The 14,123-nt window shown below is 41.5% G+C and overlaps 1 protein-coding gene across 5 annotated transcripts in view, besides 2 other annotated features; it reads left to right on the plus strand.

The window, feature by feature from the left end:
- Window positions 434–14,123, plus strand: part of TNFSF11 (TNF superfamily member 11) — a 45,278-nt gene continuing 31,588 nt past the window's right edge. The window contains exons 1-3 of one of the 5 annotated variants that reach the window (NM_033012.4): window positions 434–661; window positions 4,319–4,460; window positions 9,278–9,436. Coding sequence is in view for 1 of the 5 variants with exons in the window: in NM_003701.4 (NP_003692.1) it covers window positions 12,002–12,220 (219 nt within the window). In the remaining 4 variants the exon portion in view is untranslated. Of the gene's footprint in view, window positions 662–4,318; window positions 4,461–8,251; window positions 9,437–11,849; window positions 12,703–14,123 lie in introns of those variants that run through there. The other 4 variants (XM_047430707.1, NM_003701.4, XM_011535280.3 and 1 more) reach the window with 4 other exon arrangements.
- Window positions 11,788–12,157: a silencer, noted in NCBI's record as "silent region_5301". NCBI's record gives its function as "represses an Ori minimal core promoter by ATAC-STARR-seq in GM12878 lymphoblastoid cells {active_cell/tissue: GM12878}" and the evidence as "EXISTENCE:reporter gene assay evidence [ECO:0000049][PMID:35858748]".
- Window positions 12,248–12,447: an enhancer, noted in NCBI's record as "active region_7653". NCBI's record gives its function as "activates an Ori minimal core promoter by ATAC-STARR-seq in GM12878 lymphoblastoid cells {active_cell/tissue: GM12878}" and the evidence as "EXISTENCE:reporter gene assay evidence [ECO:0000049][PMID:35858748]".

Consider the following 14,123-nt stretch of genomic DNA (forward strand, 5'->3'; position numbering starts at 1 on the left):
CTTGGCTGTTATATGTGTGTCTTCCCACTTTGCTTGGATAACTGACTCATCCCACAAGCCTCATCTTAAATATGGCTTCCTCCAAAAAGTCTTTTCTGGACTCCCAAGTCTAGGTTAAGAACTCTCATGTGCTCCCAGGACACATTTTACTAATTACATTTTATGGTGACTGCATTTGCTTGTGTATCAGCATGTTAAAGTGGAAACTAAATCCTAGGTTGCAAAAACTCCCATATTTCAAAGAAAGATACTTGTAGAGAAGGAATCTGGAAACCAAGTTAAGGATATACATAATTGAGGTTGAAGTAATCAAGCCATAGTTTGTTTAGAGAATCTGTGAGAGGAGCTTTGAGATAAGCAGTGGGCGAGGTTGATATTTGTTGTGACGTTTCAGGTAACAAAGAGCCTGGGATTTGTCTCACATCTAAGAAGACTGAAAGCAAATGGTGTGGCCGAAGCTGCCTCTCTGGTGGCATAGCTAAGACCAAGCTGCACGCAGTGAAAACACAGTTTGTTTTCACTGACAACAAGGCAGAATGTGTACCAGGGATGTGACGTGGGGAACCAGGAAGAGGACAGTCTGAGGATCATTATTAAAGGGACTCCATCCAAGAAGGTTTCCAGCCAGAGGCAAGCTGTAGCCAGAAGAAAAGAATGAGAGGTACTATTAGTTGCAGAAATTGAGGGGAGAACTGTAAACAGTCAGCTAGGGAGAGGGAGTTTCAGTCAGATGTTTCCAGTGGGAAAATCTTTAAGAAAATACAAAAGAGTACCATGAATGAAAGAGTTCACTCTGAACATTTTACCAAGCTCAGAGAGCACCAACCCAGGTTATAACTTTACTAGTCAAATAAGTCCCCTCCAGTTCCATCCCACCCACAGCAGGCTCCCCTTCCCATGGTAAAGTTTTCAGACTGAAAGTTCTGAATTGAAGGAGGGAAGAAGATTTAACTTGAAATTGAATCAAAGCTTTTGTTATTAACTTGGGCCTCCTCTTTTAATTTTTGAAATGAGTGTGTTCTCAGGACTAAAAGTGACCAGAGGACTTTTTATCATTTAAGTAAGAACAAAGAAGTTAGGCTGGACGGGGTGGCTCACACCTGTAATCCCAGCGCTTTAGGAGGCCAAGGCGGGTGGATTACTTGAGGTCAAGAGTTCAAGACCAGCCTTGCCAACATGGTAAAACCTTGTCTCTACCAAAATTACAAAAATTAGCTGGGTGTGGTGGCGGACACTTGTCATCCCAGCTACTCGGGGGACTGAAGAAGAAGAATCACTTGAACCCAGGAGGCGGAGGTTGCAGTGAGCTGAGATTGCACCATTGCACTCCAGCCTGGGCAACAGAGCAAAAACTCCGTCTCAAAAAAAAAAAAAAAAGGAAGAAAGAAATTTTGAAACCTACCTGAGATTTCCAGCCTGAGGGAAAATATATGGACTACTTGTTGGTTTTAAGGTTTTTTTCTTTGTCTTTGGGTTTCAGCAGTTTGATTATGGTTTGGCTAGGTGTAGATTTCTTTGTACATACCCACTTTGTGATTTTCTGACATTTTGAGTCAATGAGTTAATGTCTTTAATCAGTTTGGAAAGTTCTCACCATAATATACTTCTATGTTCCTTCTGTTGCATTTTTTCCCTGTCCTTCTGGAACTCCAATTACACATATATTAGACCTTTTGATAATGTCCCATGTATTTCTCATGTTCTCTTCTGTTTAATTTTCTAAATATTGTTCCTCTATTTTAGACATTTTCTATTGAATTGGCTTTGAATTCACTATTTTTTTTATTATCCAGTCTGTTATTAAGTTAATCTAGTTAATTATTAATTTTAGATATTTTATTTTTTTGTTCTAGAATATCCACATGCTTATTTTTAAAAACATTCCACTTCTTTGTTGCAGTTCTCTATCTCTTCATCCATTTTGTTTACCTTTGCCTCTGTTTTCTTTACTATATGTAAAAGAATTATTTAAAAATTATTGTAGGCTGGGCACGGTGGCTCACACCTGTAATCCCAGCACTTTGGGAGGCCAAGGCAGGTGGACCACCTGAGGTCAGGAGTTCGAGACCAGCCTGACCAATACGGAGAAACCTCGTCTCTACTAAAAACACAAAATTAGCCGGGCGTGGTGGCACATGACTGCAATCCCACCTACTTGGTAGGCTGAGGCAGGAGAATTGCTTGAATCCAGAAGGTGAAGGTTGCGGTGAGCCGAGATCGCACCATTGCACTTCAGCCTGGGCAACAAGAATGAAACTCCATTTCAAAAAAAAAAAAAAATTCTTGTCTACTATTTCCAATATTTGGGTCATCTGTTGGTCTGTTTTTAATTGGATATTTTTTCCCTCTTCATTATGAACCATGCATTTCAGCTTCTTGTCATGTCATGTGATTTTGAAAATTGTATACCAAGCATTGTATATAAAAGAACTAATGTAGATATTATTTTGCAGCTAAGGTGAGGACTTCAATCAGAAACTGAGCTGGATTGCAGCTTTAAGTAGTTTCAGTGCAACTCTTGTTTCAAATATCTTGAAGGAAATATTTTTTGTGTTCTTATTTTGTTCTCTTTCTCTGACAAGTTTCTCTCATACACTAGAAGATCTCTCTCTACCTTCCCAGCCCAGTTCACCAGCCACTTTGCCAGTACTCAACAAAATCTGTGGGGGAAGAAGACCAGTAATTGGAGAAAATAGTTGGGCATTTGTAGATTTTAATCTGTTACATCAGCTCCAGTAAAATATCTCTGCCTACAGCAAACTCAACACTACACCTATCTGTGTTTATGCTTGACAAATGTTCCAAGGGAGGAAAGGGACTGTTAATCTTTCTTATCTAGAAAAGAATGTTCATGTGGAATTCCATCCCTTTAGATTTTTTTCATTATCAGCTCATCGATAACTTTTAAAATATATATATATATATATATTTTTTTCTTTAGTTTATCTGGTGGCTTTGTCTAGTTGTTATGGTTATGGTAATGCCATGGTCTACTGAGATCTTCCATGTAATAAATAAAGCAGTTTACTGAATGGTTTTAAACTCTCATTGCTGGGAGGAAATAATATGCTTTTTCTCTTTGCATCTTTTAGGTTCTATTTTTTCAATGTTACTACAACATTTGCCTTAGAGTGTAAGCTTTGTGGGGACAACAATTATCTATTTTATTCAGCATTATATCTCTTATGCCTACCATAGTACCAGACTCATGGTTGGTATGCAGTACATGTTTGTTGAATGACTAAATTATGAGCATGAACAAGGGAATAGAGGTTTGAAATAAATAGTATGATGTACAAGAAAATTACAAGTTATTCTTATGTTCTAAAACTAGAACTTTAAGTGCAAGGCAGTGATGGATGTTGAGGCTAAAGACAGAGATGGGAAAAAATTAAGAGTTTGTAAAGAGCCTGGACTTTATCTTAAGTGTTGGTAGGCTGCTGAGTGGTTTCAAGAGGGGAAGTTATACATCCAGTTGTTCGTGATAAATGGATCAATCTGGAAGATGGGTTTAAGTGAGAGGAGACTGCTGGAAGGAGGATGAAAGGGAAGCCATTTTAGTACTTAGGCAGGAAATGATGAGAGGCTCATTTACAGACAAGAAGGAAGGAAAAAGCACTCTGGGAATATGGCAGCACAGGCTTATTTCTTGACACCCTCCCACTCCCATCTCAATAACACAGAGAGTATGTGGGGATGGGAAGTCTACCTGAGGCTTTAGGACCTAAGGAGACAGTATAGGAATAGAAGAGCACGGGCCAACTTCTGGACAAAATTATTTACAGCAATGAGCAGACCTAAGTATTAGTAGATTTGGGGAAGTCTGAAAACAGAATTAATCCCATAGCTTCTTGGGAGACTATAATCACTTGGCCAGGTAATCCCATGCATCCTGACAGACATATGGAATCTACTTGAAATTTCCAGCCATGAGAGATCCCCAGTCCTTCTTATGCTGCCATCCTGGTGAGGAAGCATCTTCCCTACCCCTCACTTCATGGATGTCTACCATTGCCTAAGACCCTTCTAATAATCTGACATATCCAGAAGCAATGGGGACTGACACCAATGGACATTGGTAGGAAAAGAAGGGTCAGGTATCACCCAAAGGGTCTCAGGAGCTTGAAAGAGGGACTTGAATCAAATAAACTCAGCAGCTTGTTTACAGAGAAAGTTTGGTAAAGAAACAGAGGTGAATTTATAAATGATTGTAAGAAGAATTATTGAGGAGGTACAAGAAGCTATTGTGAAAGATCAATTGAAGGGAAAAAAGGATTTCTTGAAATAAAATTTAATTTTGGACTTTAAAATCCAACAGATCACCTGAATAATAGAACAGAAACTGCTGAAATATTGAACACAGATCTAGATCAAATGAAGGAACATATTCAGGATGAAGCATAAATAAAGGCCAGGCGTGGTGGCTCATGCCTGGAATCTCAGCTCTTTGGGAGGCCGAGGTAAGCAGATACTTGAGGTAAGGAGTTCAAGACCAGTCTGGGCAACATAGGAAAACTCCATCTCTAGTAAAAATACAAAAATTAGCCAGGCATGGTGGTACATGCCTGTAATCCCAGCTACTCAGGTGGCTGAGGCAGGGGAATTGCTTGAACCGGGGGGCAGAGGTTGCAGTGAGCTGAGATTGCACCACTACACTCTAGCCTTGGTGACAGAGAAGGACTCTGTCTCAAAAAATAAATAAATAAATAAATAAATAAATAAAATGAAACTGCAAGTTAAACAATGTATTATAGAAGACCTAATATGGCAAAAATAAGAGTTTCAAAGAAGAAACAATAAAAAATTATTTTCTGAGGAAAACTGAAGTGGAGACAGATTCAGGAAACATTTAGGAAATGAATACAATAAGACCCTTTGATATTATTTAATTATGTTTTCAGAAACAGCTACAATCTCCCTAATTAATTTTTGTATTTCCCAAAAGTTTATTTAAAAGCTCTAATACTTTAGATTAATTTTATTTTAGGAATAAGTCTGAGATAATATTAATGAATTAAAAACCTGTCAAACAGAGTTGCTTTCTAGAAAGTAAGAGATAAAATTACTCTAAATATTTCTAGCATTGTGCACAGAAGAGATAAACAGTTATGGACAGGTTTACTTCCTTCATACATGACCAAGATGTTTTTCCTCTTCCACCTCCCATCCAGTTTTCCGTAATGTCTGATAATTTGCCATTAGAAATGCACTCCTTTAGGGGTGAGAGCTAAACCAAACCAACCAAATAGGCCCTGTTTGGCCAGGAGGACCTCAGAGAAACCTTAAAATAATAATAATTAAAAAAACCCACCTGAGTTCCCAACCATGATGGGATGGTAGGTCAGATGCCTCATTATATCCCTTTCTTTTTGCTGTTTAGACACAACAGCTGACAGCATTAATGTTAAAACAGAGATCATAAGACTGACAGAATAGACTGTTTATGGCAATAAGATACCAAATTGTAAACAAGAGCTATGGCCATGCCAGGCAAGGGTTAAGTCACACACTTTACACTTAACAAATAAACGATGTTCTAATTCCCACAGGGTTTCTTCTCCCTCTTTCTCCAGCAGCTAAACAACACTAGCTTTGAGATAAGTGATGTTGAAGCAGTTGCAGCTCCCCAGCTATCAGACACCAAATAACTGAGCCCCCACCTGTTACACAAGCCACAGTGACAGCTTTGATTGGACAAGAGAGTGATTTCTGTAACTTTCTCCTGATAAGAGACCACCAACCATGGACTACTTCTGGCTGGTTTTACAGCAGATGCACATTTGAGTGACTTCCTGTCCCTTCTTCACCTAATTGTGTACATTTAAATGTTAAATCTCCATCCCAATGGAACTGTGGGACGCACGTAACATGCATGTTTGCTTATCATGCATGCTTACACCCTTTCATGAATATTCATAGCTCTTCCTATGTCCTGTTGAATATGTATGCTTTGCCAACCCCTTCAGCTTAAATTCCTGTGTTACTCTTCCCTCTGTTGAAGGGCTTGCTTTAGGTTTTTTCCAGTGGCAGGCTGCCCTTCCTGCCTGCAGGTTGTAATTCCATTCTTAAGAAATAAAACTCACCTTTCTAAATTTATTAATTGTGTGATTTAAGTTAAGGGGGTAAGGCAGTATATTTCCAGAAGACTGCCAACATAAAATTTTAATTCAATTGTCCATTGACACAGTGAATGTTAATTTGTCATCACATACTAGTTAATTTGTTAGCTGAAGGGAATGTAATAAGACCAAGTTGCTTGTAAAGGGTAATGGGTAAGCTGGATTAGATTATTAGGGAGGCCGGTCCTAGGTGAGAAGTTTCATTAGGTTTTCAGTGAGCAGCATATGAGCCTGGACCGGAGATCAGAAGACGCGGGAACAGACAGAAAAAGAAGAAGAGTGATCAAAGGAGAGGTGGCAAGTACAAAAGACAAAGCCCACCAGTTTCATAAAGTTGCTCAGGCTGACCCCATTTCCAGGGTGAGATATTTTCACAGACTTATTACCTATGATTATACACATTTTAAAAATTGTTATTAGCATGAGGGGCTGCATATATATTTTATAATAGCCACACTTATAAATTAGTTGCAACTGGCTTCAGATTTAGCAAGTATCTTATACAGGGTCCTGGCAGGAAATAGGTGGCAAATCCAAGGGGTTTAACTGAAAAGACTTTAATTTGAAGAGTTGAGGTCAGGGTTAAGCAAACTAAGAAGGGATGGTAAGGAACCCAGGGGCCAGCAAAAGTGGGTTCGCTTTCCCACACTGCAGTAGGTTAACGCCCTCCGCCACGAAGGAATCCATATCCTAAGCCCCAGACTCCGTGACTATGTTACCTCACATGGCAAAACTTACTTTGCATATGTAATCAAGTTAAGGATCTGGAGATGCAGAGATGATCCTGGATAGTCTGGGTGGGCCCAATGTAATCACAAGGGTTCTTATCATAAGAGGGAGATATTAGCTGGGCACGGTGGCTCACGCCTGTAATCCCAGCACTTTGTGAGGCCGAGGTGGGTGGATCATGAGGTCGGGAGATCGAGACCATCCTGGCTAACACGGTGAAACCCCATCTCTACTAAAAATACAAAAAATTAGCCGGGCATGGTGGCGGTCACCTGTAGTCCCAGCTACTTGGGAGGCTGAGGCAGGAGAATGGCGTGAACCCAGGAGGAGGAGCTTGCAGTGAGCCGAGATTGCGCCACTGCACTCCAGCCTGGGCTACAGAGCAACACTCTGTCTCAAAAAAAAAAAAAAGAAAAGAAAAGAAAAGAAAAGAGAAAGAGAGAGAGAGATTAGAGTTAGAGTCAGAGAGAAGCTGTGAGGACAGAATCAGAGGTCAGAGACTGGAGTGATGAGGTTTGGAGATGAAGGAACCAAGGAATTTAGGTGACTTCTAGAAGATGGATCCTCTCCGGAGTTCAGCAAAGTGAAACGTCTGTCATAATAATAACGAATGACTTCCTTTTTCATTTTCATTCATATAGTGAAGTTTTCTAAAGGCTGCATCATGTGCAATATTGTAACAGAGTAAGTGCAGGACTGAATGTGACTCTATCAGGCCAATTGTAGAGATGTGAAAAAATGTAAAACAGTGGCACTTTTCTCCCTACTTTTTTTTGAAAATCTGTTTTTTTAAATAAAATAATTTTATAAAAGTATTATGAATTATTTATAAAATTATATTAACATTATGTTAACATGCTAATATGGTAAAATTTTCTGCTTGGAGTTTGAATACACCAAATATTTATAAATATAACTCACACAAATAAAACCTCTTTGGTGTTCTCAAAATTTTGAAGAATGTAAAAGGTTTGAAAATTGCTGATCTAGCAAATGACTGAACATGAACAGCTATAGTATTTGTACCTGCCCAGCAGTGCAGCAATTCCTTATCCTTCTCATATCTGCACTTTAATTTTCCTTTGACAAATATCTCTCCCTCCTCTCAGCCCATGACATGAGGTTCACATGGGGTTAACTTAATTCCCTGGCTCAAAGGAAAGGTATTAAATTCAGACTTGTATCCAACCATTCCTGAAGCTAGACTTAGCCCTATTTTTCAATAACATGAACCAATCAATTTTCACATGAGTCCAAAATAATTCTATGTTAATACACTAAGGTACTAGGAAATATAGTTTGAGAAATGTTGATCCAAACATTGTGTTATTTACAGTGGAGTATTGACATAAACTTTGAATCTTCAAATATGTTCTGGTGTCTTGGCATCTCTTAATACCTATTAGCTTACAAGGCTTTCACTCAACTATTTTATAATTTTGATAATGACTTAATTGATTAGTTGATATATTGTTAAAATAAATATATTAATGAATTTATGATAAATAAGGCAGATAAATAAGACATGCAATTAGGAAGACATGTTAAACAAATTGTTATAATAATACAATCACTCTCAGCTTAGGATAGCTCCTGGCCACTTTCTCTCTGGGTGGTTTTTACTCTGGGAGTAGTTTAAATCATTATCTAGTAGTAGTTTAAAGCATTATCTTTGCCTAAGAGCTTTCGCTGACTCCCCACATTTGCATTGTACTAAGAGTTTTCTCTGACTCCCCACATAGGTCTAGACCCTAGTATTATAAGATTCTCATTGTACTTGCACTTTGCCTTCAAAGTACTAATCACGGTTTTGTTAGTGATTTGTGTGATGATTTGTTGAATCTTTTTTTTTTTCCCACTAGGGTGTAAGCCCCATGTTCCATCTTGATCACCATGTTTCTAGCCCAGTGCTGGCATATAGTGGGTTCTCACTAATATATCTGTAGAGTAAATGAAGAAATGCATGAGTGACATGACAGGAGAATTTAAGGATGCCATGGGAGCATAAAACAGAGGGAGCCACCTGGGTGAGGAGAGCTGAGAAAGACTTCTGGAGAGGCGACATTTGAGCTGAGAAAGGAAAGACAAGTGGGAGAGTCCTCCAGGTGTAGAAGTTGGAGAGATGAGCGCTCCAGTTAGGTAGTATTTGAAGCTGATGTAGAAAAGGAGTCTTGAGCCAGCTTGTGAAGGACTATTGGAGAGTTTTATTTTTATTTTTATCTTTTTTTTAATTTTTGAGACAGAATCTTGCTTTGTCTCCCAGGCTGGAGTGCAGTGGCATGATTGTAGCTTACTGCAGCTTCGACCTCCTGGGCTCAAACAATCCACCTATCTCAGCCTTCTGAGTAACTGGGACCAGAGATGTGCACCAAAATGCCTGGCTAATTTGTTCATTTTTTGTAAAGATAGGGTCTCCCTATGTTCCCCAGGCTATTCTCCATCTCCTGGGCTCCAGTGATCCTCACGCCTCGGCCACCCAAAGTGCTGGGATTATAGAAGTGAACCACTGCGCCTGGCCTATTGAAGGTTTTTAATCTTCAGAGTTTCGACTTTATCAACAACACTTAGAAGCCACCAAAGAATTGCAGGTATGGAAATGACATATACTTTTGCTTTTAGAAGAAAATCCTGATCAGTGTGCACAGAATTCTTCAGGGGGCAAGTGTGATTCATTCTGATAAGATATAGCATGGCTTAGACTGGGAGACTGGCAGAGGCTTTGAAGATTTCTTTGCTCAAATTTTATTCAGCAAGTATTTACCATGCACCTACTATAGCAGGCAACATTTTTAGGAAATGGTGAATGTTACAGAGGTGAATAATACAGCAAGAGTCGTTGAACATATGGAGTTTATCTATTAGTTGGGGAGTGAATGTTGACAAAGGAATAAGTAAATACATAGGCAAGAAAGATACATTACCTGTGAAACAGCAGCAGGTAGACTGACAGTGGAGTATCTAATACAGCCTATGGAAGCCAGAAGATAGTGGGATGACATTTTTGGAGTACTAGTAGAAATGTCATATGAAGAACTCTGTAGGAATGTAACATACGGTCCCATATATGAAGCTCCTGGGTCAAGTATACCTGAACATAATTCAGGGATTTGAGGGACTTTCTTGTAACCTGAGGATCAAGATGTCAAGGAATTAAAAACATGTATAAAACATTGTTGTATAAAAACCCATTAAAAAGAATGGAAGACACTATAGTAAAATCATTGTGGGTTTAGTTGTTATAACACATTTTAAAAATCTTTGATCCCAATCAATATTTATAAGAAAGAAGAAATATGGAATTATTTCCTGAGTCAAGGAGCAGGGAGAGAATGAGGAAGAAGAGGAGGAGGAGGAGGGGGAGGAGGAGACAATAAACCTACTTCCCAAAGTTAACAAACAAAAAGTGGGAAGAGGTCAAAGACTACAAGGAGTAGAATTAACGTCAATTGTTTCTATGTTTGAGTCTGAAAATTTTTTGTCCCTTCTCCACCAACCTATATATTGATACACATATAAATGCTAAAGGCATTTTTGAATTTGAACAGATCATTTTCTTTGTATGGCTGCCTTTAAAAAAAATTCAACCTGGTCACTCTTCCTCAACATTTACTGAGGTCTAAGTGTTCAATTTAGAACACATGCTTTAATAACTCAGAGACCTGTCATTTGTCACAAATCTTGCCTAGAGAAATACTCATTAGCGAATTAGGCAGAAAGAGGATGCAAAATAAAAAGGCACAGTAGTCCCCTGATATCCATGGAAGACTGGTTCCAGGACACCACCAAACCCCTCCCCGCAAATACCAAAATCCATGGATGTTCAAGTTTCTTAACATATCATGGCATAGTATTTGCATTTAACCTACACACATCCTCTTGTACACTTGAAATTATCTTTAGATTATTTATAATACTTAATAGAATGTAAATGCTATGTAACTAGTTGTGTATCATTTAGGAAATGATCACAAGAAAAAAAGTCTACAGATGTTAGTCCAGACACAGCCATCCTTTTTTTTTTTTTCAAATATTTTTGATCTGTGGTTCATTGCATCCACAGATGTGGAACCCATGGATACTGTGGGCTAACTGTATTAATAAAAAAGTGGAAACATCCTAAGTTTCATGGGTGTTTAAATTGGTCAGCAACTTCCTTCTGAAGAAGTATCAGAATTTGTGAGCAATGTTAATATTTTTGTTTTCTCACTAAGAGCCACAGTTCTGAATAGAGGTTTTTAAAAAGCCCTAGCAAGGTTTCTTTAGCAATGAAACTAACATTTAACTGTATCATCAGCTTCGTGTTACATCTCTTTCCTGACTGTTGGGTGAGCCCTCCTCGGATGCTTGCTTCTGGCTACACGCCCCTTTACCCTTTTCTCTGCACTGTTTTCATCTTTATAAAGTCAGAGTTGGTGTCTATAGGCTCTCTACTGCCACATTCAAGACCTGCCTCGCTCAATGTCACCTTCAAGATGCAGAAATAGGGATTTGGGAAGGGGATTGTGAAATTTTCGAAGTCTTCCAAAATACTTTGAGAAACTATATTTGGAAGCACTTTGGGGGGAGAGGTTGGACAGGAAGGGTCTTCAGAGATCATCAAATTTAACTTTCTAAATCCTAAGGAGGAAACCGAGACTCCAGGATGTGAAGTCCCTTCTCTACCAAACTAGAATGGATGCAGGAGGAATGTCTGAGGTGCAATCCTTATCCTTTAGCAAAGGTGTCCTCTGCGTCTTCTTTAACCCATCTCTTGGACCTCCAGAAAGACAGCTGAGGATGGCAAGGGGAGTCTGGAACCACTGGAGTAGCCCCCAGCCTCCTCCTTGGAGGGCCCCCATGAAGGAGGCCCTTCAGTGACAGAGATTGAGAGAGAGGGAGGGCGAAAGGAAGGAAGGGGAGCCAGAGGTGGGAGTGGAAGAGGCAGCCTCGCCTGGGGCTGATTGGCTCCCGAGGCCAGGGCTCTCCAAGCGGTTTATAAGAGTTGGGGCTGCCGGGCGCCCTGCCCGCTCGCCCGCGCGCCCCAGGACCCAAAGCCGGGCTCCAAGTCGGCGCCCCACGTCGAGGCTCCGCCGCAGCCTCCGGAGTTGGCCGCAGACAAGAAGGGGAGGGAGCGGGAGAGGGAGGAGAGCTCCGAAGCGAGAGGGCCGAGCGCCATGCGCCGCGCCAGCAGAGACTACACCAAGTACCTGCGTGGCTCGGAGGAGATGGGCGGCGGCCCCGGAGCCCCGCACGAGGGCCCCCTGCACGCCCCGCCGCCGCCTGCGCCGCACCAGCCCCCTGCCGCCTCCCGCTCCATGTTCGTGGCCCTCCTGGGGCTGGGGCTGGGCCAGGTTGTCTGCAGCGTCGCCCTGTTCTTCTATTTCAGAGCGCAGGTGAGTGGCCACCTTCCCAGGGGATCGCGGCTGAGAGCGCCCATCTCCTTCCCCCGCACTTGGAAACTGAGTCTGGCGGCAGGGCTGGGCCACCCAGAGCTTGCATATTCCGGAAGGGAAAGTGACTCCAGAAGGGAGAGAGGAAGTGTTGAGTTTGGGGACAACCTGGCGCAGGGCTGTCGGGCGCACCCTGCTCTCTCTCCGCCCACGCACCCCAGCTTCTCGGTGCTCTGGGGGCGGACTCCCCTGGCCGGACGATGGGTTTGAATCTCACCCCGTCCCTTCGCTGGGAAACAACACTGGCCTCTCACCTTTTCTGGTAGTGATTGCATACTTTTTCTCCCTGTCATTTCTCACTTGAAGTTAAGAATCAACTTCTGTTCACGTAGGAAAAAAGATGAGCGCCTTCACTTGGGCATCTACCTTTCCCTTCCCGCCCACCACCCGGCGGGTTTCGGTTCCTGCGCCTGGCTGCTCTGCAGGTGTGCTGGGGCCACGGTGCTGGAGGGCTGCGCGGAGCGGGAGGTCGCGGTGCTCGTGCCCAGGTCGCCCAATGGGTGGGCAGAATGACACGGCGCGACCAGAGAGGCGCGGGCTCGGGATGGGGGCTCTGCGGCTGTGGCGCTGTCCTGTGGGGGTGAAGGAAGAGGGACAGCCCCACGTGCCTGCTAGGGATGTGGGCGGAGGAAGGAAGCGAGGTGAGTGTGATGGCACAGTGTTACTACAGTCTAGCAAATAACCAACCTTCGGAAAGATGAAGAGGTTTTTTGCACGACGGCTAGGAACTGCAGAGAGATAGTAGGAAGGAAGGGGTAAATTTGTAATATTATGCTTTCTGGTGGTTTATGCTCTTGTGTTTTCTTGGAAATTGCAGTGCAGTTGGTTGGATTCATTCAAATATTCTTGTCTGGTGCTGTGAACTCTTTCTCAGAGGAAGTGGGGGGCTGACTGTGCATTTTTTTTTATGGGAAAAGAAAGTTGGGTTTGGACTACATTCGTTTTCAGATTCAAAGGTGATTACTAAACCAAACGGGATGCATCAAAACATGGCATTGCTTGGATTGTATGGTTTTTTGACATGTGCCAATGTCTCGAACTCCATTACTTTTAATCATAGGCTTTTTGTTAAGTATTCATTATCCGCTAGTTTGCATTTTCTAGAACTAGTGTGATTACCTACTTAAAGTAGAAATGCAATGAGCCACACTTCAGAAAATCTGCATTAAATATAATCTACTCATTGAGAGTTTTGTTGTTTCTAAAAAGACAACTTTTGAGTGGTTTGCTTGCAACACAGATAACAAATCTATATGAAAGTGACTAAACGTCTTTCTTTCATTGGAGTGTGTTGCAATAAGAATGGCTTACCCATTTTCTCATCCAGCATTTTGTTAATAACCCCCATTTAGTGCTTGTGCATGGAGTGCCAGCGTTGTGCGTGGCACCGTCACCTGCGATGGAATGAGTTAAGAATCATTTATTCAACAGACAGTGTCCACTTACTATGGGCATGGAGCCAGATAGCAGAGTGGCCTAATAAAACCATTAAAATTCTTAGTCAAACAAAAGAGCAACAATCAGAAAAGGGATCAAAGATGCAGTAGTTCTCCACTGTTTATCTTTTCTAACACCTTCGGGATATGGCATTTTCATTGCCATAATAGTGAAGAGAGTGTCCAATGTTGAACGAGCAGTAGGAAATGAAGGAGTTCTAGGAACCATGAACAGCTTGGCTTGGCAGGAGCTGTGGAAATCGGTGGCATGGCTGTGTAGGAAAGAGTGACCTGCTGGGCTCTTGTTAGAGTTGTTCAGCTTTTCCCTAGGAATTCTCGGTGGTCCCCGTGGGTGAGGAGTCAGGGCTTTCAGTGATCTCCCATCATCCTTTAGCAGTCTTGATGCTGTA

This window comes from Homo sapiens, chromosome 13, assembly GCF_000001405.40.
Source record: "Homo sapiens chromosome 13, GRCh38.p14 Primary Assembly".
Classification (NCBI taxonomy): Eukaryota; Metazoa; Chordata; class Mammalia; order Primates; family Hominidae; genus Homo; species Homo sapiens.